Source organism: Homo sapiens, chromosome 11, assembly GCF_000001405.40.
Source record: "Homo sapiens chromosome 11, GRCh38.p14 Primary Assembly".
In the NCBI taxonomy this organism is placed as follows: domain Eukaryota; kingdom Metazoa; phylum Chordata; class Mammalia; order Primates; family Hominidae; genus Homo; species Homo sapiens.
In genome coordinates this window covers 1381227-1407424 of record NC_000011.10, presented here as the reverse complement: position 1 = coordinate 1407424, position 26198 = coordinate 1381227, and the positions used below count along the sequence as shown (strand labels likewise).

Here is a 26198-nt window from a genome sequence, read left to right as displayed (position 1 = left end):
GGCCAAGGGTCCGATGTGAGAAGCCCCCCAAGTGGACTCTGTGGGGCCAGGAACCTACTTCCTGTGGGGACACCACGGTGTTGCCAGAGGGCATAGGGGGCAGCAGGGCCCTCTGCAGGCAGTGGGGCTGTCGTGGACACAGCAGAGGTGGCCAGCGGGAGCCAGTCAGAGCCGGTGACCCACACCAAGCTCAGAGAGGGCAGGGGTGGGAAGGAGACATCAGATGTGGGGGACCCACGCAGACACCACAGCCACCACAGCAGCCTCCTCCAGGGCCTGCAGCTCCCTCCGCTCTGCACCTGCCAGGCCCCACCCTCGGCAGCCCAGGGAATGGCTACCAAGTCGCTGTGGTGACGTTGGGACCCCCTTCCCTGGGAAACCCTAGGAGCCTCCGCCTGTCATCCTAGGTGCAGGCAGACAAGGATGCACAGACCACACACATGCGCACACACGTTTGCACGCACAGGCAGGCACGCACGCACACACCTGCACATGCAGACGCACCACACACACACACGCACACAGACACACAGATATGCAGGCGCACACAAACCTGCACATGGACATGCACACACATGCGTGTACCTCGTGGAGGGAGCAGATGCCTGGGCTCCTCTTTTCCAAGCTGCAGGCTGACACCCTGCCAGCCCCACCACAGGCCCTGGGATGTGGCCCAGCGACAGGCCCACCCCCGCACCCTCCAGCAGCACAGCCAGCAGGCGGCCGAGTGCTGGACACACAGCTGTCCTGGCCTCTGCAGGCCTCCTCATGCCAGCTCCGTGTGGCCCATCCTGAGAGCCTGGGGCTTGCTGGCATCCTCTGCAGGGGTTTGGGCCCCCGCCCTCCTGTGTTGCCAAATACCAGCTCCGCTCGCCCCCCATGCAATTTGCTGAGCTCTCTGGGGTCCTGAGTGGCAGGGACAGCCCAGGTGTGGCTCAGTTTATCTTTTTATTGAGACAGAGTCTTGCTCTATCACCCAGGCTGGAGTGCAGTGGCGTGATCTCAGCTCACTGCAAGCTCCGCCTCCCGGGTTCATGCCATTCTCCCGCCTCAGCCTCCCCAGTAGCTGGAACTACAGGCACCCACCACCATGCCCGGCTAATTTTTGTTTTGTTTTGTATTTTTAGTAGAGATGGGGTTTCACCGTGTTAGCCAGGATGGTCTCCATCTCCTGACCTTGGCAGCCTTGGCCTCCCAAAGTGCTGGGATTACAGGCGTGAGCCACTGCGCCCGGCCCAGTTTATCTCCTAAGAAGGGACCTCTGGCGGCTGGGCAGGGAGAGGAAGGCCAGGCAGGAGGAGGGGAAGGCTGGGCAGGAGGAGCCGCTGGCCGAGGGACACCCTGACCTCGGCAGGGGAGCGGGCAACAAACAGTGTGAGGAGCTGGGACAGAGTTGGGAGGTTCCTGTCTCCGTATCTTGGGTGGGTTTAGGAGCCTGTGGGGGCTTGTGGGGGTCTGGGAAGGCTGGGGATGGAATGGCACAGGTGCAGACCAGCGTCTGACGTGGACAGAAGGGGCGCCTGGGGCTGGGCCAATCACTCGGCAAGGGGTGTGGGGCCTGCGGGGCCAAGGAGCAGGGGCTGGATGGGGTCACTGCCACGCAGGTAGGCAGGAAGGACCGAGCGCTGGAGATGCGGGCTGCTGGCTGGGGCCACACTCAGGAAAGGACGGACCTCCCCACCTCGGCACAGAGCACAATCTTTAGGCTGCCCTGAGCCCAAGAGCTCCGCACCCCATCTTCCTGGCTCAACCCTGGGTCCTCAAAGCTGGGGAGCAAAGGTCAACGGCCAAGCCTGTGCCCTTGGGGGTAGCTGGCGCCGCTGGTCGGTCCCCCATCCCAGACCCCTGGGCAGGACAGGGCATGTTTTCCTAGAGGAAGGGGCTGGGGCTGGCAGCTCGCTGCCTGTAACTGTGGGGTGCTGGCTGCAGGCAAGCCCTAGGATCCCAACTTCTCAACTATCATGCAGTGGGGCTGCCACCAGCTCCCCCAGCCATCCTGAGCTTCACGAGCCACAGGGGGAAGGCTGGGCAAGGCTGGCACCTGCACACACAGGTGGGCACGCACACACACACCTGCATATGCAGACACACCACACACACATACACAGACGCACACACCTCCCACCCCAGCTGGCACGCAGGGCTCCAGGAGCAACGTCAGCTCCTGTCCCAAGTGGGGAGACGTAGAGGATCCCAGGCAGAGGGCTAGGAGGGCAGTGTCCACATTCCCTGCCCCACTGACTGGCCCAGGGCTGTGGATGAGGCAGCCTGGCCCGGGCCGCTCCCAACCCCCTCCCAGGGTGACTGACCTCCCTGGGGAGGGGCTGGAGGCTGCTCAGGCCCCTCAGAGAGCCCCCCTACAACCCCCTAGACCACCAGAGATGGAGGCCCACACCCCTCAGAGAGCCACCCCCACCCCCTAGACCACCAGAGACAGAGGCCTGCACGCCCGCCTGCCTGCCACACCTTGGGGGCCTTGTGTCAGGACACAGGGGCAGCGAGGGCTGGGGAGGGACTCCACGCAGGGCCCTGCGGCCACCCTCCCACAGAGCGGGAGTGCTGAGCCCTGCCCCCAGCCCGGCGAGCCTGCCTGTCCCAGAGGAGCCGTCGCAGCAGTAATCTCCAGGGCGCGGTAAGAATAGAGCTGCTTAGTGGGCAGTGGGTAGCGGGCGGCTTGCGGGAAGGGCAGAGAGGGGAGAGGCAGGGGCTGCAAGCCCACGCCCGTTGCTCCTACCCTCCCAAACGTTAGCATCTGTCCCTGAGTGCCTTGTGGTCTTAGAGGCAGGGGCCACATCAGGAACCAGGGCAGGGCATCCACCTCCGGGGCGCCCCCTCTGCCCTCCCAAGGCTGGTGCTCTGTGGCATCCAGGGAGGGGCCGTGCAGATGGTCTCCCCCGAGGACCTTTCCCCACCCCAACCTCCTCTGGGTGCTGGGACAGGGACGGAGGGGAAGACAGAGCAAGGGCAAGGATCAGAGGCAGGTGCAACTCTCGGCCAAAGGGACGTCTGTCCTGGGAGGCTGAGGCAGGCGGAGGGCTGGCTGGGACGATGGCCTCCTCCCGTGGCCACTCCCCTGAAGAGGGGACGTGATAGGAGAGCAGGGTCAGGAAAAGGGGCAGCATCAAGGACACGGGGCCCAGAGACAGGAGGGGAACACAGAGGAGTGAGGCCCTGGGCAGGGACACAGCTCCGCGCACCCAGATTGCGGGCAGCTGGGGCAGGCAGCAATCAAAGGGTGGCCGCAGGGCTGAGTCTCCAACCTCCCAGGGCCAGGCTGGAGGTGCTGTGTGCCCACACCAGCTTCTGTGGGACAGTGGAGAGGGTGCTGGCTCTGGAAGCTTTCACCCAGACAGATGTGAACTCTGCTCACACTTCACTGGTCAAAGAGCGAAGCCCAGGAGAGGGGCAGGGGCTTGGGTACAACTCCAGGCCAGGCTCACCCCATTCGCCCCATCTGACCAGGCCCACCGCCCGCCTCCCATCCCAACTCCCGTGATGCCACCGTCCCAAGTTGGGCAGTGGGGCCTGGAGCCCGGCCGCCTCCCCACGTGGGGAAGCGCTCAACGTGTTTCCCCCAGAGAAGCCAGGACACTTCCAGGTCACTCTCTGCACAGGCCCTGTGGGGGCTTGGTTTATCCAACGCCACCAGGAGCCACAGAGCCCAGAACAGAGCCCACTTCTGTCTCACCAGCATGGGGGTCCACAGGCGACCATCAGTGCACCAGGTGCCACAACAGGACTGTCACCAGCAGGTGAGGGACCTAAGGGGGCTGTCAGACACCACTGAACTGGGGTGATGGGAGCTCAGGACACACCGTCAGAGGTGGGGTATCAGTTATCCCCCTTTCACACCAAACAGCCAGCTCCAACCGCCTGGGCCCCTCCTCCGCAGCCCCTGCCCATCCCATGAGCCTGCGGGTTTCGTGGCCTCCTGAGTGGAAGGAGCAGAGAGGGGGCTGAGACCAGGAGCGCAGGGCCCCCAGGCCCAAGAGCAGCCTTCAGCTCCAACCCCAGCACCAGCAGGGGCACCAGCAGGGTAGCCCTGGTGGGGAGGACCCCACAGTGACCGGTGAGCCAGTGACGCTGTGGCCTGCGGTGAGGGGTGGCTGCCTCACGTGCTCTGCCACGCACAGCAGCCTCCATCCTGGGCTGGGGGACAACTGCCACGTTCCCTCCAGCAGACAAGGCTGGCCAGTCCGGTCACAGCAGGCAGTGACAAGGGCACTGCCCCAGGGGAAGGGTAGCGTGACACAGACCCCCCGAGGATAAGGCCCCAAGCCAGCTGACCCCACAGTTGAGCTGTGGAATGGGGAACTCAACACCCCATGGGTGAGAGGCCGGGCAGAGGCCTGCAGCCAGGCACCTACCCCGTGGTGGCCCCGGGGGGTCCCGCCCGTCCTCCCACCCACGCCATCTGCAAACGCCCTCGGCGGCTCTGGCTTTTGCTGGAGAGGGCGCTCATCTGTGCACTTTACGATGAGTCACAAATCCCCGGGGATTTGGGGTTTAGGGTCAACAAACCTCCAAGCAGATCCGAGCCCTCCATCTCCTCAGAGGCAGTCACAGCCCCTCACTCTGCCGAGCTCAGCGCCGCTCCCGCCTCCTCTGCTGGGGGCCTGTTCCCTCCCCGTGTGTCAGCTGCCCCCACTCCACTCCCTCTGCCTTTGGCAGGAGACCCTGTGTCCCTGAGTGAGGGGCTGTGGGCCTCAGTGGCCTTTTCTGTCCTGGCCTCCTGAGTCCTGGCCCTCTGCCAGTGCCCAGGCAGGATCAGATGAGGCCCTAGAGAACCCTCTCCTGTGTGTGGGGAGCTCCAGGGAGACGCTGCCCCTCACCCCCCAGGAGGAGTCAGGAGGGCTGGCTGGGCTGGCCTGAGGGGCAAGTCCCTGGAGAAGGGTGGGGCAGCCAGAGGGTTACACGCAGCACCACCCACCCTTTGCAATGCTCCTCCCCGGAGGCGGGGCTCAGGCACGGACAAGGTTCAGGTGGAGGCAGCTTGGAGCTGAGTTTGCGGCAGTAGCTCCTCTGCCCATGACCATCCACCCCCAAGGCCACCTTCTCAAACTCCTGCAACTAACCTACCCTTAGGCCACATGAGCCCTGAAACAAGGTGACTTGGAGGAGTCTGTCACAAAGGGCTCCCAGGAGTGCGCTCCAGGGGACATGGATCAGACCCCACCACAGCCTGCTGTGCCTGCCCCGCCCCGGGGAGCCCCGACACCCACCGCCTCTGGAGAGCGCAAGGTCAGGCCCCCCAGCCTTCCCCAGGCTGCTCCATGCCTGCTCTCCGGCACCCACACGCAGGGGCACCCTCAGCTCTGCGGGGCCCTGGCCCTCCCTCTCCCCTGTAAGTTAAAGACAGAGAGGCCCTGGCGGGGCACGAGGGGTGGGTCCTGTGGGTCTGCTCAGGGCCCAGGGCTGGGGGACTGGCCAGCAGGAGGCACCGAACACATCTGGTTTCCTCCTGCCCCTCCTCAGCACGGAACCAGAGACCCACAGCTGACGACAGGTTTGGGATCTTGCCAAAAATCACCGGCCCTCACATAGCTTCTTTCCAGCTGCAGCTGGGCTGTGAGGACCCAGCGCCAAGGCAGGCGCCCTCGCGGGAGGAGGAAGCTGCAGACTTCAGCACGGCTGGTGCTGGACAGCTCCCTGAGGGCCTCTCCGCCTCCCGAACAGGGCATAAGGTCCTTTCCTCCTCCTCAAAGTCGGCAAACTCCCTGCTGTGTCCCCACAGTCCGCTCTGGCACGACGCAGCAGAGCAGGGGCTTCCATACCACCCACGGCTGCTGCCGCCTTCCCTGGAGACCAGAGAGGACGGGCAGAGGCTGCACCGGCGGTTGGCATGGGCCCGAAGGGGCTCAGTGCAGCCTGCAGGAGGTGGGGCTGCTGGCCCAGGAGTGATGTTCCCTGGCTCCAGGAACATACTCCGGGGTATGCTGGCCCTGGTCCCAGGGGCTCCTGAGCGACCCTGGACCGTGCAGGAAGGTGGGGGACTGGAAGAGCGACCTATTCTTCCAGGTTGTGACAATCCCAGGCAGACAGACTCACTATGAGACACAGACACTTCCAGGAGGGCACCCGCACCCCGGGCGTGAGCCCCGACTCACAGACACTGGCAGGAAATCCCAAAATACAGACCCGCGAGGGTAGCCGTGCATCAGTTGCTCACGGGTGAGGTGTGATGCCGGGGGCATGTGCTGAGGACACAGGCCAGGTGCCTCAGCAGGAGAACTCTGTGAAGACGGGAGCCTAGAGGCCTGCGGAGTGGGCAGGGCGTCCCCTGCCCCATGCAGCTCTGTGACCGGCTCCACCCTGCCCCGTGCAGCTCTGTGACCGGCTCCACCACTATTCTGTCTGCTGGTCCTCCCTGATGCCCAACGGTGGCTGTCCTGACACTCATGTGGCCTGAATGAAATGAGCCCTCATGCCCCGCATTGAGGCCAGGCTGGGAGCTGGGCATGCACCAGCAGGGATGGAAGGAAGGAGGGTCACACGGCCCCGCCGCCGGCAGCCACTGGGCCAGAGGAGCAGACGCCACAGGGTCCCAGCACCACGAGGAGCCTGGGGAGGGCCATGGCTAGACAGGAAGGGCCCTAGCCCTGGACCGGCTCCTCATCTGCACCCCTCCCAGTGCCACAGTGTCCGGGGTGGGTGGCCGCAGGGCCCAGGCAGAGCCGGCAGGTCCTCCACTACCTGCCCCCACCCCCGACCACAATGGAGAACACAGCTGACAGGGGCCCATTCCTCCCATGTGGCATCTGCCCCCCGAGACCACCTGCACGTGTGTGACACACAGTGAACGTTCCAGCATGTGTGTCCCCAGGCGGGCAGGGCATTTTGCTGGCCCCGTGCCTGGCTTGGTGCTGGCAGTGTTCGGTGCCCAGGAAGGATGTGGACGGGTGGAAGACAGTACCCACGGCCGCTATACAGGGTCAGGGATTATGGAAGAGGTGGTCACTGCCCAGGGTCAGGGGTTATGGAAGAGGAGGCCACCGCCCAGGGTCAGGGGTTATGGAAGAGGAGGCCACCGCCACCCCAGCTCTCCAAGTGGGGTCCCCCAACCAGCGTCAGCATCACCTGGAAACTTCTGAGAGATGCAGAGCCCAGGCCCACCCCATGCCCGGGCCTCCGGGGAAAGCTGAGGCTTAGGGCCCCTGGGAACAGCTCCCAGCCATGGAGGGGGCGGGAGACTGAGTCCACGGCCCCACGCAGAGCCCAGCGCCTGCCCACTCCCTCCTGCAGGGAGACTGGGCTGGCGGCGGAGGCCCAGGCCTGGGAAATGTTCTTTTAAAGTTAAAATCCCAGCATCCGACTGGCTTCCTGCCAGTTTCTAGAAATCAGTGCTAATTTCTCAGGGTGATAACGGCCCTTTGGTTTTCAAGAGTTTCTCTGTTATATGTGCAGACCAAATGTTTACAATAAATGGTGGCTGGGACTATTCCTGCGTAACGGAGGTGGGGGGTGTTGCTGGCGGCTACAGGCGGTGCTCGCCAGGCTTGGGGCACTCTCCTCTGCTATGTGAAAACACCAGGACCCGGAGCGAGGCCTCCATCCCAGAAAAGCCTCGGGAACCACAGAGCTGGGGTTCAGCCACGACACACCCCAGGGTGCCAAGGAAGAAGGAGGCTGGGCCCGACGGCACCGGGGAATTTGGTCGGCCCAGAACTCACTGCTTCCCTGTACCCCAAATCCCCCATGTCCACCCGGCAGAAGGCAGGGCCACAGCAGATGACATGGGATGTGTCCGGGGTTACTGTGGCAGCAGAGGGACGGGCAGGACAAGCTCCTCACCAGCCCAGAGCCCTGGGGGGACAGCTGCCAGTTTGAGCCCCGAGGGACTGTGCGGCCCTGGCATCCCCAGCTGACCAGCCCGGCCTTGCCACAATCCCTATCACGGCTCACGGCTCCCCTCTCATTGTCCCCAGCAGAGAGAGCTCCACAAAAATCCCATCGGCTGGGGGAAGGCAACACAGTGACGCCATCTGAGCTGCTTCTCCCCACCCTCGGGCATCCTGGCCCACAAGCCATCTCCCCTCCTCGGCTGTCCTGAGGCTGACGCTGGCCCCAGTGGCAGGGCCAGGCCCTGGGCTCAGTCCCAGCAAGAGCAACCCCCTGGCACCACCCCACCATCCTATCCAAGCCACTTCACAGATAGGGAAACTGCGGTGTGGACACAAGTGACCACTCAGCCAGCGTCTGGAACCAAGTACCCTGGAGGTGGCCCTGCCCTGGGGGGCCTGCCCACAACAGACAGCACAGGAACGTCCTGGCCAGAGACCCCCAGTCACAACGGCTCTGTGGCTCTGGCCTGGGGCGGGGCTGCCTGCCCAGCTCCTTCCTGGCTGGAGGTGCCCGTGTGCTGTGGAAGGGACGGAGTCATTCCGCAGCCCCCCTGCAAACCCTGTGTGCAAGAAGTCACCACGGGGCTGGCAGAGGGACCCAAAGACCCAGGACGGCGCAGGACGAAAGCCAGGGACGGCCGCGGGTGCCAAGGGCCAGTCTCCGCCCCAGACACCAAAGATAAGCGGAGGGGCTGGGGGGGCTCCAGGCTCCAGGGGGCCCCACACATCTCCTGGCGCCTACCAAGGACCTGGGTACACCCAGGCCCCATCACAGATGAGCAGGAGGGAAGCTTGAGTGCGGGGACCAGGACTCCTGAAGCCACACCGGCAGGGCCTGCAGCCTAACCCTGGGGAAAGGGCTGCCCTGGGGAAAGGCCTATGCGGACTGGGGCCACCGCCTCCTGTCTGGACACCTCGGAGCTTGTGTGGGAGGGGAACCTCTGGCCCCCTGGCCTGGCTGGCCCTCTGTGCTGCCCTGCGCTCTGCAGAAAGTTAATGGCACCAAGGGGCTGCACAGGGGGCAGCTGAATGAGCCCCCATCTGGCCACCCCAGGTCTCTGAGAACCCAGCTTTGGGGCTGCCTCTCCACCCCCTGTATCCCCAGGGGGCAGGGCCAAGGCGCCTGACATGGCCACCCTGGCCACCACCCTTCCCGGGGCGGGTACCACACCTATTACCTCTGTCCGCACAAGATAACTCTCGGACCCAGGGCAGCAACGTCACCCCCGCCCAGGGAAGCAGCCAATCAGGGGCCCAGGCCAGCCCCAACCAGGCAGCTCAGGCAGCAGCTAGCCCTGCAGCTGATTCAGGGTGCCGAGGACACGAGGCCCGATGCTAGCTGTGAAGAGGGGCTTTCCCTCAGCATGGAGGGCCACTAGGCACTGCCCCCCAGCCCCTATCCTGACCCCTTCTCCCATACAAAGGGTTCCCCGGGGGCTCCCAGGCCAAGACACCCGCAGAGGCGACATTCCTGGCCAGGCAGGCTCCCTGTGCCCCCGCAAACCACCCACAGCTGGACTCAGCCCGACTTGCAGCCATCCCCGCTGTATCACGGGGATCATGCAGGCAGCCGTCCAGGCGCCCTCCCACCTCTGCCCGGGGCCGGGAAGGCCAGCCTGCCCTCCAGGGCCCTGGGCTCCAGCTTAAGCCAAGTGGGCAGTGATGGCGTGAATGCCCTGGGCACCCCCATCCCCCTCAGGCCAAGGTGCCCAGAACTCCCACTGGCCCTACCCAGCCCCACCCCAGCCCAGCTCCATCCCAGAAGTGTCCATTCCCCTCAGCCAGTGCCATGAGGCTGCCATGGCCACCCAGGAAAGGCAGCTCTGTCCTCATAGGATGGTACCCCCAGGGCAGACAGGACCCAAGCTCAGCCCAAGGACGTGGCACCCAACGAGGAGCATGGTGCCCAGAGAGACACATGCCAACCGATGGGACCTTGCCATCCACTGGGGGTGGTGCTGTCACTCTCCAGGGTTCGGGGAGGAAGCCAGGCCCAGCCTGCAGCCCAGGCCCCTGGGGCAAAGCAGCGTAGGGCAGCCACGGCCTCCGTGGGCCCCGGGACTGAAGGCAGAACGAGCCTGGGAAGCTGGAGGCGTCCAGGAAAACGAGGAGTTTCTCTTTAACAGCAGGACTTTCGGGAGCACTGCTCTGTGGGTGGGGCCTGGCTCCCAGCTGCTGGGCCCAGAACACTGGCCCCTCAGAGGCGGTAGAACAAGGCCTGGACCTGGCAGGCCGGGCCCTGAAAGGCAGCCGGCTTGGCACAATCCGTGCTTTGTCCCTGCAGCCTCTGCCCCAGCCCAGCCTCCATCTTGTCCAGAGCCCCAGGCAGCTGGCTCAGGGCAGCCTGGCCCGGCGGACATCCCTGGGGTGAGGCCTCAGGGAGATCTGCAGGCCGCTTGGTCAGCCTAGGCTAGGACCTGGGGCTTGGGCCTGACACAGGCACCAGCCCTACAGGTGAAAGCGGGGCTGCCCTGCACAGAGGAGGTGGCAGGGTGCCGTTAACTTCCTGCAGAGCACAGGGCAGCACAGAGGACCAGCCATGTGAGCCCCAAGGGGCCTGACAGATGCTGGTCTGCCGTCCTCCTGCGCGGTACGGTGTTTCCAGCCATTGGAACCTCGCACAAGCTTCAGGGAAACCCCATTCTACACTCAGGGGCCCTGAGGTCCCAGTCCTTCCACTTCCGAGGGGCCAGGGTCCAGGTGGGCTGTCCAGAGCTGAGGGCAGGGCCCAGAACTGCACAGTGATGCCCCACAGTGCCACCATCTAGGCACAGCCCCACATAGGTGGATGCCGGCGGCCGGCAGTCACGGGGACCAGCCCGCCTCCTCTCCTGGTGCCGGCTGCCCAGCAGGGCTGCTGACTTCAGAGACAGCCTGACCCTCCCCAGGTGCCCAAAGAAGCTAGTCTGTGCCCAGTGAGGACTGGAAGGCACAGAAGCCCTCAAGCAAGCGCCACCAGGTGATGGCAAAGGGGCCTTCCCGACGGCTCCTCCTGAGCGCCAGTGGCCGACGGGGAGGCACAGCCCACTCAGGCTGTTCCCAGGGACTGGGGTCTGACCTGCCCTCGGGCCAGCCTGGAGGGGGTCTCCTGTCTGCTTCAAAGCACCCAGAGCGCCGGAGCAGGGTGAGGCCATGATGAGAGGGCCCGGGGTCACTCCGCAGACTCGGGAGTGAGAACCAGGAGAGCTCGCTTAGGCCCAGGTCCGGGAGCCGGTCCGAGCAACTCTGGTGTCCTGGGGTACAGGCCTTGCTGGCCCCATGCAGTCCTCGAGGCGGCTGTAAGGGAAGAGGGACCAGGAGTGGGGGACGTGGGTGGAAGGGAAGAGGGACCAGGAGTGGGGGACGTGGGTGGAAGGGAAGAGGGACCAGGAGTGGGGGACGTGGGTGGAAGGGAAGAGAGACGAGGAGCGGGGGACGCAGGGGTCCACACACACCTGGCACAGCGACAACCTTAAGACACTCCCAGCCACCCTCAGAGCAAGGAAGGGACCTGGCCACCTCGGCAGCCAACGATGGTGGGGACCCAGAGGCCCTGGAGCTTGGGTCGTGGGCAGGAGCCACGGCCCTTGATAGTAGCTCCAGCTGGGCCTGCGTGAGATTTGCCAGAAACAGATCCCCTTGAAGCCTAGAGGCCAACCTCACATCACAGCCCAGGCCCTGCATTCCCCAGTGGTTCTGGACACAACTCCCTGCTCGGGCAGATGGTGGAGCAGGCGGGGCAGCAGCCAGCCACGGTGACTCTGGAAAGCCCTCCCTGGCACAGCTGGGGGAGGGGGCACAGCCTGGCCTTGAGGCTTCCACATCCAGGAAATCCACGGCGTGCACGCACCTCAGCAGAGCAGGGCCAGCACGGCCAGCACGATCAGGGCCGGGCGGTGCCCTCTGCCCAGCGTGTCTTTTCCAGCCATTGCCAGTGACAAGGCAGGGAGACCCACGTCAACAGGGACACACACACCTGAGGTGCCCAGGGCCACAGTGGGTGGGGACAGGACAAGGGCCTAGGGCTCCCGCCTCCAACGACCCTCCCGCCCCCGCCTAGGGGAACTGCCGTCCTCACCACCCGGAACCTCTGTGCCAAGGGCCCTGACAGGGACACTCAAGGCCAGCTCTCAGCTGGAAAGGGGGCTCCCTGTGGAGGGCATGCAGGGCAGGAAGACGCCAGGGGCAGCATCTTGAGGCCTCCACCCTGGCGCAGTCACTGACATGGCGCCCAGCGACACCAAATGGGCCTTTCCAGGGACTTCAGGGGGCCAGGGAGACTTCAGATGGGAGGGCTACCCACCATGCTGGCTCCCCGGGCTCTGTGCACGGCGCCCCTGAGAACAGCGTCCTGAGACCTCAGCTTGTAGAAACCCCGTGCAGGGCAGATGAGGGGTTCAGTCCAGCCCCAGGCTGCTGCTGCCCTGACAAAACAGCTGGGGTCAGATGGCCAGGGCCTGATGTGGGGAAGGCCACAGAATTCCTGGGGTCTCGCAGCAGACACCCCACGCTGAGTCCACCTTCACCTTCATGGCTGGGGAGGCTGCCGGGTCCTGTCTACCCATGCGCTCTCCGGGCTCAGCCCTGCACAGCCCATCTCCAGGGGCCCATCTCCAGGACCCATCTCCATGGCCCATCTCCAGGGGCCCATCTCCAGGACCCATCTCCAGGACCCATCTCCAGGACCCATCTCCATGGCCCATCTCCAGGACCCATCTCCAGGACCCATCTCCATGGCCCATCTCCAGGGGCCCATCTCCAGGACCCATCTCCAGGACCCATCTCCATGGCCCATCTCCAGGACCCATCTCCAGGACCCATCTCCATGGCCCATCTCCAGGGGCCCATCTCCAGGACCCATCTCCAGGACCCATCTCCATGGCCCATCTCCAGGGACCCATCTCCAGGACCCATCTCCAGGACCCATCTCCAGGGGCCCATCTCCAGGACCCATCTCCATGGCCCATCTCCAGGACCCATCTCCAGGACCCATCTCCATGGCCCATCTCCAGGACCCATCTCCATGGCCCATCTCCAGGACCCATCTCCAGGACCCATCTCCATGGCCCATCTCCAGGGGCCCATCTCCAGGACCCATCTCCAGGACCCATCTCCATGGCCCATCTCCAGGACCCATCTCCATGGCCCATCTCCAGGACCCATCTCCAGGACCCATCTCCATGGCCCATCTCCAGGGGCCCATCTCCAGGACCCATCTCCATGGCCCATCTCCATGGCCCATCTCCAGGACCCATCTCCAGGACCCATCTCCATGGCCCATCTCCAGGGGCCCATCTCCAGGGGCCCATCTCCATGGCCCATCTCCAGGACCCATCTCCAGGACCCATCTCCAGGACCCATCTCCATGGCCCATCTCCAGGGGCCCATCTCCAGGACCCATCTCCATGGCCCATCTCCAGGGGCCCATCTCCAGGACCCATCTCCATGGCCCATCTCCATGGCCCATCTCCAGGACCCATCTCCAGGACCCATCTCCATGGCCCATCTCCAGGGACCCATCTCCATGGCCCATCTCCAGGACCCATCTCCAGGACCCATCTCCAGGACCCATCTCCATGGCCCATCTCCAGGGGCCCATCTCCAGGGACCCATCTCCATGGCCCATCTCCAGGACCCATCTCCAGGACCCATCTCCAGGACCCATCTCCAGGACCCATCTCCATGGCCCATCTCCAGGGGCCCATCTCCAGGACCCATCTCCAGGACCCATCTCCATGGCCCATCTCCAGGGACCTGCACACCACAGCCCATCGCTGCCCGTCCTGCTCAACTTTCTAAACAGACCCCATCTCAGACCAGCTTCCTTCCCCTCCACATCTGCCTCCAGCTTCTGGGCCTGGGGTCACCCCCAGGGTCTCCCAGGCACAGGCTCTCCCTCCCCTCACCTGTTCCATCTTCAATGACTCCTCCCATCCCAGGACCCCTCTCCACCCTGGCAGCCACCAGGGCTCAACCTTCCTAAAGGCCATTGAGAACATGGAGGGGCGGCCCCAGGTCCCTGGCAGCCTAGGTCCCTCCCCCACGCCACAGCAGGTGAACACTGCCAGGTGAGCTGCAGGGCAGCCCCTCATCCTAGCTCCTTCGTTCCCTCGCAGGGAGCCCTATCGCGGCCATTATTCCTTTCTCCCGCCCCCCAGACAGAGGATTCCCGAAGGCAGGCCCCTCATCGTCCCATGCAGCCCACCCGCCTGCCCCCAAGAACAGCTCCAAGGGCCCGAGGTTCTCCAGCTCCTCCCACAGGGCCCTCCCAGGCCTCCCAGATTTCAGGAGCTAAGCCGAGGTTTGGGCAAGAAGGTGCCCTGCTCCACGTACTGATGGGGCACAGGGACAAAGGCGCGCAGGGACAAAAGCCACCCAGCCCGTGCCACACACCCTCCTGGACCTGCATGCTCCAACTCGGAGTGTCTGCGCCCTCCAACCTCCATGGTTGCCCTTGCTGGCAGGGACTGTGTCTCGGCATCTCTGCAGGGGTCAAGCTCAGATGAGGCTACACAAGCCTTTCTCAGCCCCAAGAAAAGCTAAGGCAGCACCTTTGCAGGTGGGTTCCCACCCCAACCCCAGCCTACATCCCCCTAAGTCTTGGCCAGAAACCACCAAGCAGCCGGCGAGGAGGCTTCCACAGATGCTCAGTGCTCTGACGGCTTCACCTGGTGCCTGGCACCGGCAGTGAGACCACTGAAGGCAACCCCCACAGCCACCGAGGGGAGCTGTGCAGAGGACGCCCCATGCAGAAGGACGACCCTACAGCCACACTGGCCCTGCAGGACGCACAGACCCAACAAGACAGGGAGGTGCCGTACAGGTGAGACCATGCAGCGCTCACGCTGAAAGGCAGAAGAAGACAGCCGACCGGACCCTGCGGCGTCTAGAAGGGCGTCCTCCAGGCCCCGGTGGGGGTGCTGCGTGGTCTCCCCTCCCCACACGGCCAGACTCCCCAAGGGCAGGTTTCGGACCACATCTTTGGCCCACCGTCCAGCAGGCCCCAGCTTGGGTCAGCCGGGTGGAAGGGCTCTCGTGGCACCACAAGGCTCACTGCCACTGCCACTGACCACCTCCCTCTCAGTGGCCACCTCAAGTCGAGCAGCTCCTCCTTCCAAGGTCTCAGGCTGAGAGAGATGAACAGAGAGGGCCAAACAAAGCTGCCAGCCACAGACACGGGGAAGGGGCTGGAGTCGCGTCCACACCAATGGCCCCCCAAGCAAGGCCTCCACAGCTCCCCTGTGGCCAGGTCCCTGGAAGGAGAAGCGTTCTCAACGGCAGGATCAGATCGTCCTCGGGTGGTGGCGGCCAGAAGCCCAGCCTCCCGTTCTCCCACGGAGGTCTCCTGGCAGGAAGCCTATCTCCCTCTTGAGCTTGGGACCTGGCAGCTCTCCTGGCATCTGGTGCCAAGTGGCCCAGCACACACACTCCAGGCCCCATGTCCACCCAACTCCTGGTGACCCTTCAGCAGCAGCAACAGAAGACGCACAGAAATGGTGGCCTTCTCCAGGGCCCTCCCGGTGACACGCTTGCGCTCTGCCCGTCATAACTCGGGAGAGAGGGGCCGCTTTGTGCCCCCCCTCGAGCTGTTTTCTAAATATCTCTCTCAGCACGTTGTAGACACACACAGCCCATCCTTTTGTATTCATTACTGTTAATTACAGTGGAAACCTCCCGTAATTAACTGCCGCCAGCAGAATGCCATGAAGAGTGGAGACCAGCCCCTACCCACCGAGGCCGCGCACAGCACATAACTCATCGTGTCTTCATTTACACGCAGATGTTTCCTTATAATAACATTTTATTGGGACCGTAATTGGATTATCTCACTGACTCCTGCATCCTGCTGCCCTGGGCCCCTCCTTCACCACGGATTTCACACACTAGTTTTTCTTTCCGGGAAAGACGAGAATTTTGAACTCAGGTGACATGGGCTGAATGCCACCTCCTTCTCCAACCCAGGCTGCACCACCCCACCTGCCCAGGTCCTGCCCTGTGGCCAGGGGCCCTTCCGTGCCGTGGCGGGTGGCGGAAGGCTGTGCACCCAAGGTGAGGCAGCTCCCCTGAACCCCTCAGTCTAAACCCCTTCCTGCAGCTCTGCCGTAGTTACATCACAGCCACGGCCCTCCCCCAAGAGCCTGGGCCTGGCCCACTTTCTTTCCCCAACGCCACCTCCCAGCTCCTCCTCTGTGCAGCCGTGAGGGGCTGAGCCTCCACCCTGCACCAGCGCTCTCCTCCTCCTTCCCTCCACCCCTGCCCGCCCGGGTCTAAGGAACTTCTCGGATTGGAAGGGAGAGGCAGTGCCGTGGGACCTCGGGGACACCAAGAGACAGGCCGGTCCTGAGAGAAGAAAGAAAATGGCTGAGCCCCAGCCTCCACAAAGGCGACTCTGTGAATGTGCCTGACCAGATGAAGGGCTAGCCAAACCCAGCGGGCCGGGGAGAGTTGGCCACATGCGAGGGTAGCTGGGTTGCCTCTGGCCTGGGTTCGGCCCCGCAGGGACCCGGCCTGTTCCCTAGAATGACAGCCAGGCCCCACCGGGAAGCCCCCTCCACCGGCAGGCCGCGGGGCTGCTCCACGGGTCAGGTCCCACGCACTTCTGGTCCCAGCACCAATGGCCTCTCCCTGCCCCGTGGGAATGCAGGTCACAGACGCTCCGCCCGCCCGAGCCCGAGCCGGAGCAGCGCAAGGCGCTGTCCAGCCCTCTGCAGGTCCCCGCACTCTCCCGCCCCCACCGCGGAGGGAGATCGGGCCTGCCCGGAGGCCCCGGTGGCCGGCGCGCGGAGGTGGGAGTCCCGCCGGGGGCGCAGCTGCTCGGGCAGCACGCCTATTAGCGCGGCCGCGGCAGACGGCAGATGGGCGCCCGCGCGGCCCCCTCCTCCCGCGGCACAATGGGCCCGGTCGCTGGGGCGCACAATGCGGCCCGGGCCGCGCACCTGCAGCGGGGCCCGAGGGGCGCCGTCCCGTGCGCCCCTGTCCGCCTGCGCGCCCCGCGCCGCGCCGCGTGTCCTTGGGCCGCGCCCGGCCGACCGCAGCCAAGCGGCCTGCGGGATCCGCGGCGGAACCGGGGCGCACGAGCGGACGGGGGCGCACGGGCCGCCCATTGTTCGCGGCCGGGGCCCGGGCCGGGCCTGCGGCTTCGCGGCCGGGGCCTCCCTCGGGCGCCCCCCACCCAGCGCGCTGCCAGCGCGGCCTCCCCGGCCCCGGTCCCCGCCCCGGCCGCACGCACCTGTCTGCCCCTTGCCCAGCGTCTTCTCCAGCCGGTAGGGCCCAACATACTGCGCGTGCTGCGCGCCGCCGTCCTTCCCCGTCGATGTCATCGCTCTGGGGCCCGGCGCCGGCCAGGGGCGCCCGGGCGCGCGGGCAGGGAGGGGCCGCCCAGCGTCCGCCCGCGTCCGCCGAGTGCCGTCCGCGCCGACCCGGCCGGGGCGCCCCCGCGGGCCCCGCTGCTTCGCGCCGCCCGCGTCCGCCCGCGCCGCCGCCCCCCGCGTCCACTCCGACGCGGCAGTCCGAGGCCTGGCCCGCGGCGACGCCTCCGCCTCGTCGAGAGGACAGGGCGGGCGGGGGCACCTGGCTTCCGCCGCCGCCGCCGCCGCCGCCGCCGAGGCCCGCGCCCCGCGCCCCGCGCCCCCAGCGCACGCCCGTCAGCGGCCGCGCAGCCGAGCCGAGCCGAGCCGAGCCGAGCCGTGCAGCTGAGCCGAACAGCCGAGCCCAGCAGCCGAGCCGAGCCGAACAGAGCCGAGACGAGCCGAGCCGCGCAGCTGAGCCGAACAGCCGAGCCCAGCAGCCGAGCCGAGCCGAACAGAGCCGAGCCGCGCAGCCGAGCCATGTAGCCAAGCCGAACAGCCGAGCCCTGTAGCCAAGCCGAACAGCCGAGCCGAACAGCGGAGTCGAGCGCAGCTGAGGGGAGCCGAGCCGGGCCGCGCAACGGAGCCGAGTCGACACGAGCCTGTACGAACGCAGCGGGATGCCGTGGCGGCGGCAAGCGGTGCCCGCGCCGGCCAATCAGCGCCTCCCCACCCCGCCCCGCCGCTACGAGCGCTCGGGGAGACTCTAGGGGGCGAGGCGAGGCCAGGGCGAGGCCGGGACCTGGGAGCCTCCAGCCCGCCGGCTGCCACGTCCGGTCCCACCAGGCAGCAGAGCTCCCGCTGCCGCCCGACCCGCCATTAAGGCGCATCCCGGGACGGAGCAGGCAGTGGGCCCATGGCGAGGGGGTGCAGATGGCTGCCCTGGACGGGGGTTTTACCCTGCAGGGCGTGACCCCGGGTGTCCCAAAGAGTTTCCCGCCCCTCGAGGGGGTGCTGCACGCGCGGGGGATGGGGATGCTGCCCTGGAGGGGGGCGAGTGTTGCATGCGGGGCGGGAGTGCTGTACTGGGGAGAGGTGCTGTATTCGGGGCAGGGGTGCTGCACACATGGGGGGTGCTGCACGCCAGCGAGGGGCATGCTGCGCTGGAGGGGGCGGGTGTTGCATGCAGGGCGCGGATGCGGCACACGTGGCGGGGGGGCTGCATGGGAGTCTGTGGGGCTACTGCACGCGGGCGTTGTCCAAGCAGAGATTGTGCACCCCCAGGGAGGACGTGGCCCTCCGCCTCCGCTCCCGAGGGAGAAGCGGCGGTTTTCCCAGTTATGCCACAGTGACCTGCGCGGCGCGGAGTCAAGGAACTCACCTGGGATCCGGCCGCAGCGCCCTGGCGCCTCCCGGCCCTTGCTACCGACCCCTCTTTCAGGTTGAGCAGCTGGGCAGGGGTTGCCGGGAGCAGCCTTTGGAGGTCTAAACACAGGCAGCCGAAGAGGCAGCCAGACCTGGACGGACCCTCTGTTTCTTTGCAGAAAAACACTGGTATTTCCTTAAGCCCGTGCTGCAGAAGGTGGTGGGAGGGGAGAGGTGAGGGAGACCCGGAACGCTGCAGAAGTGGGGGTCCCAGATCTTGCCCGTGTATGGTCTGCGGGCAACGTTTCCCCTGCGGGCTCTGCCACACACTGCTGCTGACCGTGGTCCGCTCCCCACGCTGGTAAGCCCGTATGAGCTCAGGAAACTGCGGGGTCTTCCCAGTGCGCCCTCCTGCTCTTTGGGCTGTCTGTATTTCCAGCTGGGGAGGGGAGTGGGCCCCAAAGCACCTGTCCACTCTCGGCCTGCACCCGCCCGCCCTGCTTCCCTTCAAATGCTGTGGACTAAGGGTCCTCCCTACCCAATTCTGGGGCCTCTGAGCATGAGCAATCAGGGCCCCACCAGTGGGGGCAGGGGAGGGGGGCTGAGAGCATGGGACAGAGGCAGAGGGCACTCCCCTTTCCCCCGCTGCTGCTGCTGTGAGTGGGGACAGCAGACATTTTTAGCTGAATGTAGACTGGGACCTCCAGCTGGAGAAACTGTCAAGCAGTGAGGTCTGGCTGGAGGCTGACTGGGAGTGGTCTGGTCCAGGTGCCAACAGAGGCCGAGGGTGTGCAGGAGACCAGGAGAGGGCGTCAGGCCACAGCCAGAGGGCAGGGGCACTTGACCTGAGATGCCCTCTCTCTGCTGCCATGGTCACCTGGCCTCCCAGGCTGCAGCAGAGTCAGACGCACCTTTGTGACATCCTCAGCAGCATTTTGCCCTATTGACCGTTTGCATCCGGCTACTCCAGTGGCCAAAATTCTTGCTTTCTTCCTTCCCACCTCCTTGCCAGCCTGCATCCCTCTCCCAACCCTCACTGCAGCCCTGAGGCCTTTTCTTCCCTGTCTGTGTCTGAGCAGCCTATGCCATTGGTGGCCTCTGGGGCTCAGTCTGGGGCCTCTCTTCTGGCTCCCTGCCTGTCCTCCGGGCGCAAGAGGCTAGTCAGCCTTCAGCCTCTTGAGTGCCTATCCTCAAATCGCCCTCCCAGCCTCCCTTGGCCCTGCTGTCCCCTCTTGAAGGTGCTGCACAAAACCCCAGACTCAACGCCTTCTCCATAGCACGCCGCGCCCTCCCTGCTGCCATCTTTGTGGGGATCAACAGGATGACTGCCCTTCCTTCCAGCGGGCCTGGTACTGGGGTGCCCCAGGAGAGGGTGTACCAGGGTGTGGCCAGCCAGTAGATGCCCACGACTGTGATGCCACAGCCCTCGGTCCCCCTCTGTCGCGTGTAAGGTGGGAGCAGGAGCCCCAAAGGAGCCAGGGCTCTCGAGCACGAAGGTCTGTTGCCGGAGTTAGGAAAGGGCCCAGTCTCACAAAGACGTCCAGGCCAAGACTCACCAGTGGAGCCCACCAAACACTAATGGAGGAAAAGCACCCCGCTACACAGACACTTCCAGGACACAGAGGAAGACGGGCCATGTCCCAGCTCCTCTGTGAAACTGTCATCACCCTGGTGCCAAAACCATGCAAGGACATGACAAGAAAATTAAAGTCCACTCAGGAGCCTAGACACAAAAATCCCTTAACAAAACATCAAATCAATTCCAGCAATATATAAAGAGAACACATATGACCTTGTGGAGCGTACCCGGGAATGCAAAGTTAGTTTAACATTTCAAAATCAATTGTCATTCACTATTAGCAGACCAACACAGAAAAACCACACGGTCATTTCCACAGATGCAAGGAAAGCATTCAACAAAATTCAGCACTCATTCACGACAAAGGCTCTCAGTAAACCAGGAGGAGAAGATTCGAATCTATTCTGCTCCTGCACTCCCAACCCAACAAAGGGAAACTACAAAAACCCACAGCTAATGTCAGGCTTAGTGGTGAGAAACTGAAAGCTTTTCCTTGGGTCAGGGATGGGGCAAGGTTGTCCATCATCATCATTTATTTCAGTGTCGTGCCAGAGTACATGCCGAAGTAATGAGGCAAGGAAGACAAAATTTGTACCAGTTGAAAAGGAAATTTTTTATTATTATTATTATTTTTTTTTTTTTTTTGAGATGGAGTCTTGCTCTGTCGCCCAGGCTGGAGTGCAATGGCCCGATCTCGGCTGACTGCAAGCTCCGCCTCCCGGGTTCACGTCATTCTCCTGCCTCAGCCTCCCAAGTAGCTGGGACTACAGGTGCCCGCCACCACGCCCGGCTAATTTTTTTTTATTTTTAGTAGAGGCGGGGTTTCACCGTGTTAGCCAGGATGGTCTCGATCTCCTGACCTCATGATCCACCCGCCTCGGCCTCCCAAAGTGCTGGGATTACAGGCGTGAGCCACCGTGCCCAGCCAAAAAGGAAATTTTAGGTGATCTTTATTAGAAGATAACATTAATGGCCGGGCACGGTGGCTCACGTCTGTAATCCCAGCACTTTGGGAGGCTGAGGCGGGCAGATCACCTGAGGTCAGGAGTTCGAGACCAGCCTGGCCAACCTGGTGAAACCCTGTCTCTACTAAAAATACAAAAATTAGCTGGGTTTGGTGATGGGCACCTGTAATCCCAGCTACTCAGGAGGCTCAGGCAGGAGAATCGCTTGAACCCACGAGGCAGAGTTTGCAGTGAGCCGAGATCATGCCATTGCACTCCAGCCTGGGCAACAAGAGCAAAACTCCATGTCAGAAAGTAAAACAAGAAGATAACATTATTGTCTGCAGAAAATTCTAAGCTACAAACTGGTACTAAAACGAATAAGTAAGTTTACCAAAGCCACAGGGTACAAAGCCAAAAAAAGGTCAATTCTATTTGTGTGCTAACCATCAATTAGAAGTTGAAATTATGAAAACAGTACCACTTACAAAGAGAATTTAAAAACCACGAAATACTAGGGGTAAATTTATCAGAATTTGCATGAGATCTGTACACAAAAAACGATTATACATCTCTCAGTATATTAAGTGAGACTTAACAAGGCCCAAGTAATCGATTTAATTTTAATTTGATTTTTTAAATTTTCTCTTTTTTTTTTTTTTTTTTTTTAGAAATTGACAAGCTGCCAGGTGCAGTGGCTCATGCTTGTACTGCCAGCACTTTGGAAGGCCAAGGTGGGAGGATAGCTTGAGCCCAGGAATTTGAGACCAGCCTGGGCAGCATAGCAAGACTCCATCTGATATAGTTTGGGTATTTGTCCCCGCCCAGACATATGTTGAAATGGAATCTTCAGTGTTGGAGATGGGGCCTGCTGGGAGATGTTTTGGTCATGGGGTGGATTCCTCGGGGCTTGGTGCTGTCCTTGCAATGGTGAGTATTCGTGAGATCTGGTTAAGTGGGAGCCTCCCCTCCCACTCTCTCTTGCTCCCACTTCTGCCGTGTGAGACCCCTGCTCCCCCTTTGCCTTCCACCGTTATTGGAAGCTTCCGGATGCCATGCTTCCTTTACAGCCTGCAGAACCATAAGCCAATTAAACCTCTTTTTAAAATAAACTACCAGTCTCAGGTATTTATAGCAACACAAGAACAGCCTAACACATTATCTCTATGAAAAATAAAAATAAAATAGCCAGGCATGGCTACACACCAGGACTCCACACTTGTAGTCCCAGCTCCCTGGGAGGCTGAGGTGGGAGAATTGCTTGAACTGGAGAGATGGAGGCTTCAGTGAGCCACCATAGAGCCACTACGCTCCAGCCTGGGCAACAGAGTGAGACCCTGCCTCAAAAAAATGATGACGGAAATTTAGACGACACAAAGCACCTCGAACTCTCAGACGTTGCAGATGGGAGTGCAAAATGATGCTTTGGGAACCAGTCTGTCAGTTTCTTATAAAATTAGACACACCGTTACCATACGATCCAACAATCCCTCTTACAGCTATTTTCCCAAGAAAAAGAAAACTTACGGCCACACACAACTTGCATGCAAATGTTCATAGCCACTTTATTAGTAACAGCCAAGAAGTGGAAAGAACCCCGTTGTCCTTGGGTGATGACTGGACAGACAGGCTGTGGTGCACCCACACGGGGAACGCGACTCAGCCGTGACCACAGCGGGCCAGGAAGCGTGGCTGAGATGTGGGCAAATCTCAAACACATTAGGCCAAGTGAAAGAATCTGGCCTCAGAAAGCCATGTGCTGTATGATTCTATTTCTATGATATTATGGAAAAGGCAAAACTGTAGCTACAGAAGGCAGAGGGGTGGCTGTGGGTCCAGGGCGATAGGAATTCTTGCACATCCTGACGGCTGGCTTGTTTGCTAAACTCATCGAATCATATACGTACAATCTTACTTCAGTAAAGCTGCGCAGAGGCTCTTCTGAGCTCCACCCAGAAGAGCCTGTGGGCCACGCGGGGAGACACACCTGGGTGCACCGGGTGCCCTGCCGGCCACAAGGTCCATGGCAACCCAAGGGGAAGCCCCGCCTTTGGGTGGGTGGGTGGGTGGGTGGCAGGGGGAGGGCTTCCTGCAGGAGGCGGCTCCAGCTGCCTGAGGATGTAAGTGCAGGCCAGTGGACAAGTGGGTCATTGAGGCTGGGGGCAGTGGCTCATGCCTGTAATCCCAGCACTGTGGGAGGCCAAGGCAGGCAGATCACCTGAGGTCAGGAGTTCAAGACCAGCCTGGCCAACATGGTGAAACCCCGACTTTATTAAAAATACAAAAATTGGCCTGGCACGGCGGCTCATGCCTGTAATCCCAGCACTTTGGGAGGCTGAGGTGGGCGAATCACGAGGTCAGGAGATCAAGACCTGGCCGGGTTTCACCTGGCTAACACGGTGAAACCCCGTCTCTACTAAAAAAACAAAATACAAAAAAAAAAAAAAAAATTAGCCAGGCGTGGTGGAGGGCACCTGTAGTCCCAGCTACTCGGGAGGAGAATGGCATGAACCCAGGAGGTGGAGTTTACAGTGAGCTGAGATAGCGCCACTGCACTCCAGCCTGGGCGACAGAGGGAGGCCCCGTCTCAAAAAAAAAAAAAAAAATTAGCCGGGCGCGGTGGCACGCACCTGCAGTCCCAGCTACGAGGGAGGCTGGGGCAGGAGAATCGCTTGAACCCGGGAGGTGGAGGTTGCAGTGAACCTAGGTCACACCACTGCACCCCAGCCTGGGAGACAGAACAAGAGGCCATCTCAAAAACAAAACAAAAAAGTGGGTCATTGATCACGCAGCCCTTCCTGGAGGACCCCAAGGGAGAGGAGGATACAGAGGGGGTCACCAGATGTCCCATCTCCATTGCCAGCCTAGAAGTTTCCGGCCGGCGGGGGTGGCCTTTGTTTCCAGGCACCGGCCCTCAGGAGAATGTGTGTGCAGAGGTTGTGAGGCTCCGGGCGTCAGCTGGTGTCTCACGTCCCCGGCCGCGGCCTCCGCTGCTGCGGAACTGGAACCACTGACGTCACCAGCCTTCCCTCCCTCCCCTCCCCGCCACCCCCGCTCCTGGCGCCCCGGCCCGGCGTGTGTCTCCCCGCGCTGAGGGCTCACGGCGCCATCCCTTCGCTGTCTCACTCCACGTTGCCCTGATCCCCGCACCGGCACCGGGGATTAAAGACGCTGTCCCAGCCCCTGCCCCAGACTGAGCAGGCGCACGACCAATGACGAGGCGCCCCGCTAAGCAGCATCTCCGAGCTGCGGGACAAGCTCACGGCCACCAGGAGCTGGGCCGAGGGCCCGTGGGGGGAGGGCAGGTGGCACGGGTGGGCAGACGGCCTGCCGTCGCGCGCATTCCCGGGGCCTCCCAGCCAGCCTCACACCCCCTCCTGGACCCGCCCCCTTCACCGCCTGAGAGCTGGGCTTCCTGCGCCCGCCCCGTCCCTGACCCGCCCCGTCTCCCTCACCAAGGTGGCTGTGTGGAGGAGGAAGAGCAGCCGCTTTCTTGGTTGCCAGGACCATCCACGGACATCAGGGACACCTCTGGCCCAGCCGTAGGAGCAGCCACCTCCTTCCCCACTGGCAGGGCCTCCCTGGCTGGCCCAGGCTGCCCATGACTCCGTCCTACAAAAAGATCCCCCACTACCACGGGGGACCTTAGAGAAGCCACCCTGCCCACAGCCACACCTGCCTCCGTCCTCTCTGCTCACACCCCGCACCCACCTGTCCCTGGACAGGGGTCAGACGGCTGGGTCAGCGGGCTCAGGTTAGGGTCTCTGTTGTGCGGCCCCCGTCCCACTCCCGCCCTGCCTTCGTCATCACCTCTGGTCCTCCCGCTGCTCTCTCATCAGTCGCTTCCCGGAGGCTTGCCCCACGCCCCGCCAGCCTGGCGCCCACCAGCTCCGTGCCCGACAGCTATCGGCCTCTTATCTCGACAATCGGTTGCTCTTGGCCAGCCCGTCCTGCTGCAGAAAGGAACGGGGTGCAGTTCTGGAGAGGGTGGCCACAGTCTAATTCCCCCTCTGTTGTACATAGGTGGCCAGAGTCCCCCATAGAGACAGGCGGGAGGTCAGTGTGCAGGTGGGAGCAGGTGCGGGGGTCTCCCACCCAGGCCCCTCTGGGTGTCCCCACCACCAGGTGCTCCCAGCCACACTGGTGGAAAGCAGAGCCTGTCACAGTGGGGACATTAGCTGTTGAACCTCCTGTCTCCATCTGAGCTCCTGTCCCTGCCCCAGCCCGGGGGCTTCCTGCTGCACCCAATGGAGGTGACCAGGAAGCCTGGAGGGGCACACTGAGGCCTCTGATGCTCAGAAGCCCAGCACAGATCCAGCATCTGCCGAGCATGTGTGCTCAGACCCCCACGATGGCCCCCACTGAGGGACAAGGAGGGAAGCCTGGGAAGGGCAGTGCCCAGGTGGCCCTTGCTGGGGGTGGCAGGGGGGTCAGCTCCACACTGCACACATTGTCCTGGAAGCTCTGCAGGTCACCAGCACACAGAGGTAAGCGTTGCCCACCCAGGAGCCAGACACCCAAGGAGGGCTTGCAGAGTGAGAAGACAGGCCAGAGGGTGGGGAGGGCGACACGGAGGGATGGTGCAGTAAGGGAAGGCCCCGGGAGAGAAGGAGCAGAGCAGCGGGAGGAAAGCAGGGGACAGAGTGTCATGGAAGCAAGGTACAGCTCCCGCAGTGGGGAAGAGGATTCTGAGGGTCAGAGTGGTGACCTGACTTACCCAAAGCCGGCCTTTGACGCAGAGGCCCCTGCTCCTCTTCCTGTTGAGAGAAGCCAGGAATGGGGAGGGAGAGGCAGCAGGATGAGCTGATAGCCAAGATTTAGACAGGAGGGTGGGACCAATGTGTCTGAAAAGACAGTTGAGAAAGTGATGCTATGTGGCTCTAAATTGACAAATACATGTATGGGTATTGAAGAAATTTTGAAAAATGTAGCCAAATGAAAAGACAATAAAAATCACCTCTGGTCCCACCACCTAGAGCAAACCACTAGTTCACCTCTAGCTCTGTGTCTGCCAGCTGTCTTCTGCTAAATGTGATGTTTGTAACATCCTCCTTTCCGTTAAAAATGTTTAACGGCTTTATTAAAATATAATTCACGTATCATACAATTCACCAATTCACACTGCACAATTCAGTGATGTGTATTTTTTAGTGTATTTACAGAACTGTGCAGCCATCACCACAATCAATTTTGTAACATGTTC

General features: G+C 62.6%; 1 protein-coding gene across 12 annotated transcripts in view, besides 4 other annotated features; it reads right to left on the bottom strand.

Moving 5' to 3' along the window:
- The window catches only part of BRSK2 (BR serine/threonine kinase 2), a 72756-nt gene extending 55265 nt beyond the window's left edge, over positions 1-17491 (bottom strand). For all 12 annotated transcript variants that reach the window (NR_046331.2, XM_017018533.2, NM_001440665.1 and 9 more), the window contains exon 1: positions 17050-17491. Coding sequence is in view for 11 of the 12 variants with exons in the window: in XM_017018533.2 (XP_016874022.1) it covers positions 17050-17140 (91 nt within the window). In the remaining variant the exon portion in view is untranslated. The remainder of the gene's footprint in view (positions 1-17049) is intronic.
- Positions 7120-7320: a silencer, noted in NCBI's record as "peak1160 fragment used in MPRA reporter construct". NCBI's record gives its function as "represses an SCP1 promoter by STARR-seq MPRAs in K562 erythroleukemia cells {active_cell/tissue: K562}" and the evidence as "EXISTENCE:reporter gene assay evidence [ECO:0000049][PMID:32103011]".
- Positions 17725-18094: a silencer, noted in NCBI's record as "silent region_3055". NCBI's record gives its function as "represses an Ori minimal core promoter by ATAC-STARR-seq in GM12878 lymphoblastoid cells {active_cell/tissue: GM12878}" and the evidence as "EXISTENCE:reporter gene assay evidence [ECO:0000049][PMID:35858748]".
- Positions 23109-23282: a silencer, noted in NCBI's record as "fragment chr11:1405373-1405546 (GRCh37/hg19 assembly coordinates)". NCBI's record gives its function as "represses an EF-1alpha promoter that drives an FKBP-Casp9 reporter gene in an ReSE screen in K562 erythroleukemia cells {active_cell/tissue: K562}" and the evidence as "EXISTENCE:reporter gene assay evidence [ECO:0000049][PMID:32094911]".
- Positions 23978-24427: a silencer, noted in NCBI's record as "silent region_3054". NCBI's record gives its function as "represses an Ori minimal core promoter by ATAC-STARR-seq in GM12878 lymphoblastoid cells {active_cell/tissue: GM12878}" and the evidence as "EXISTENCE:reporter gene assay evidence [ECO:0000049][PMID:35858748]".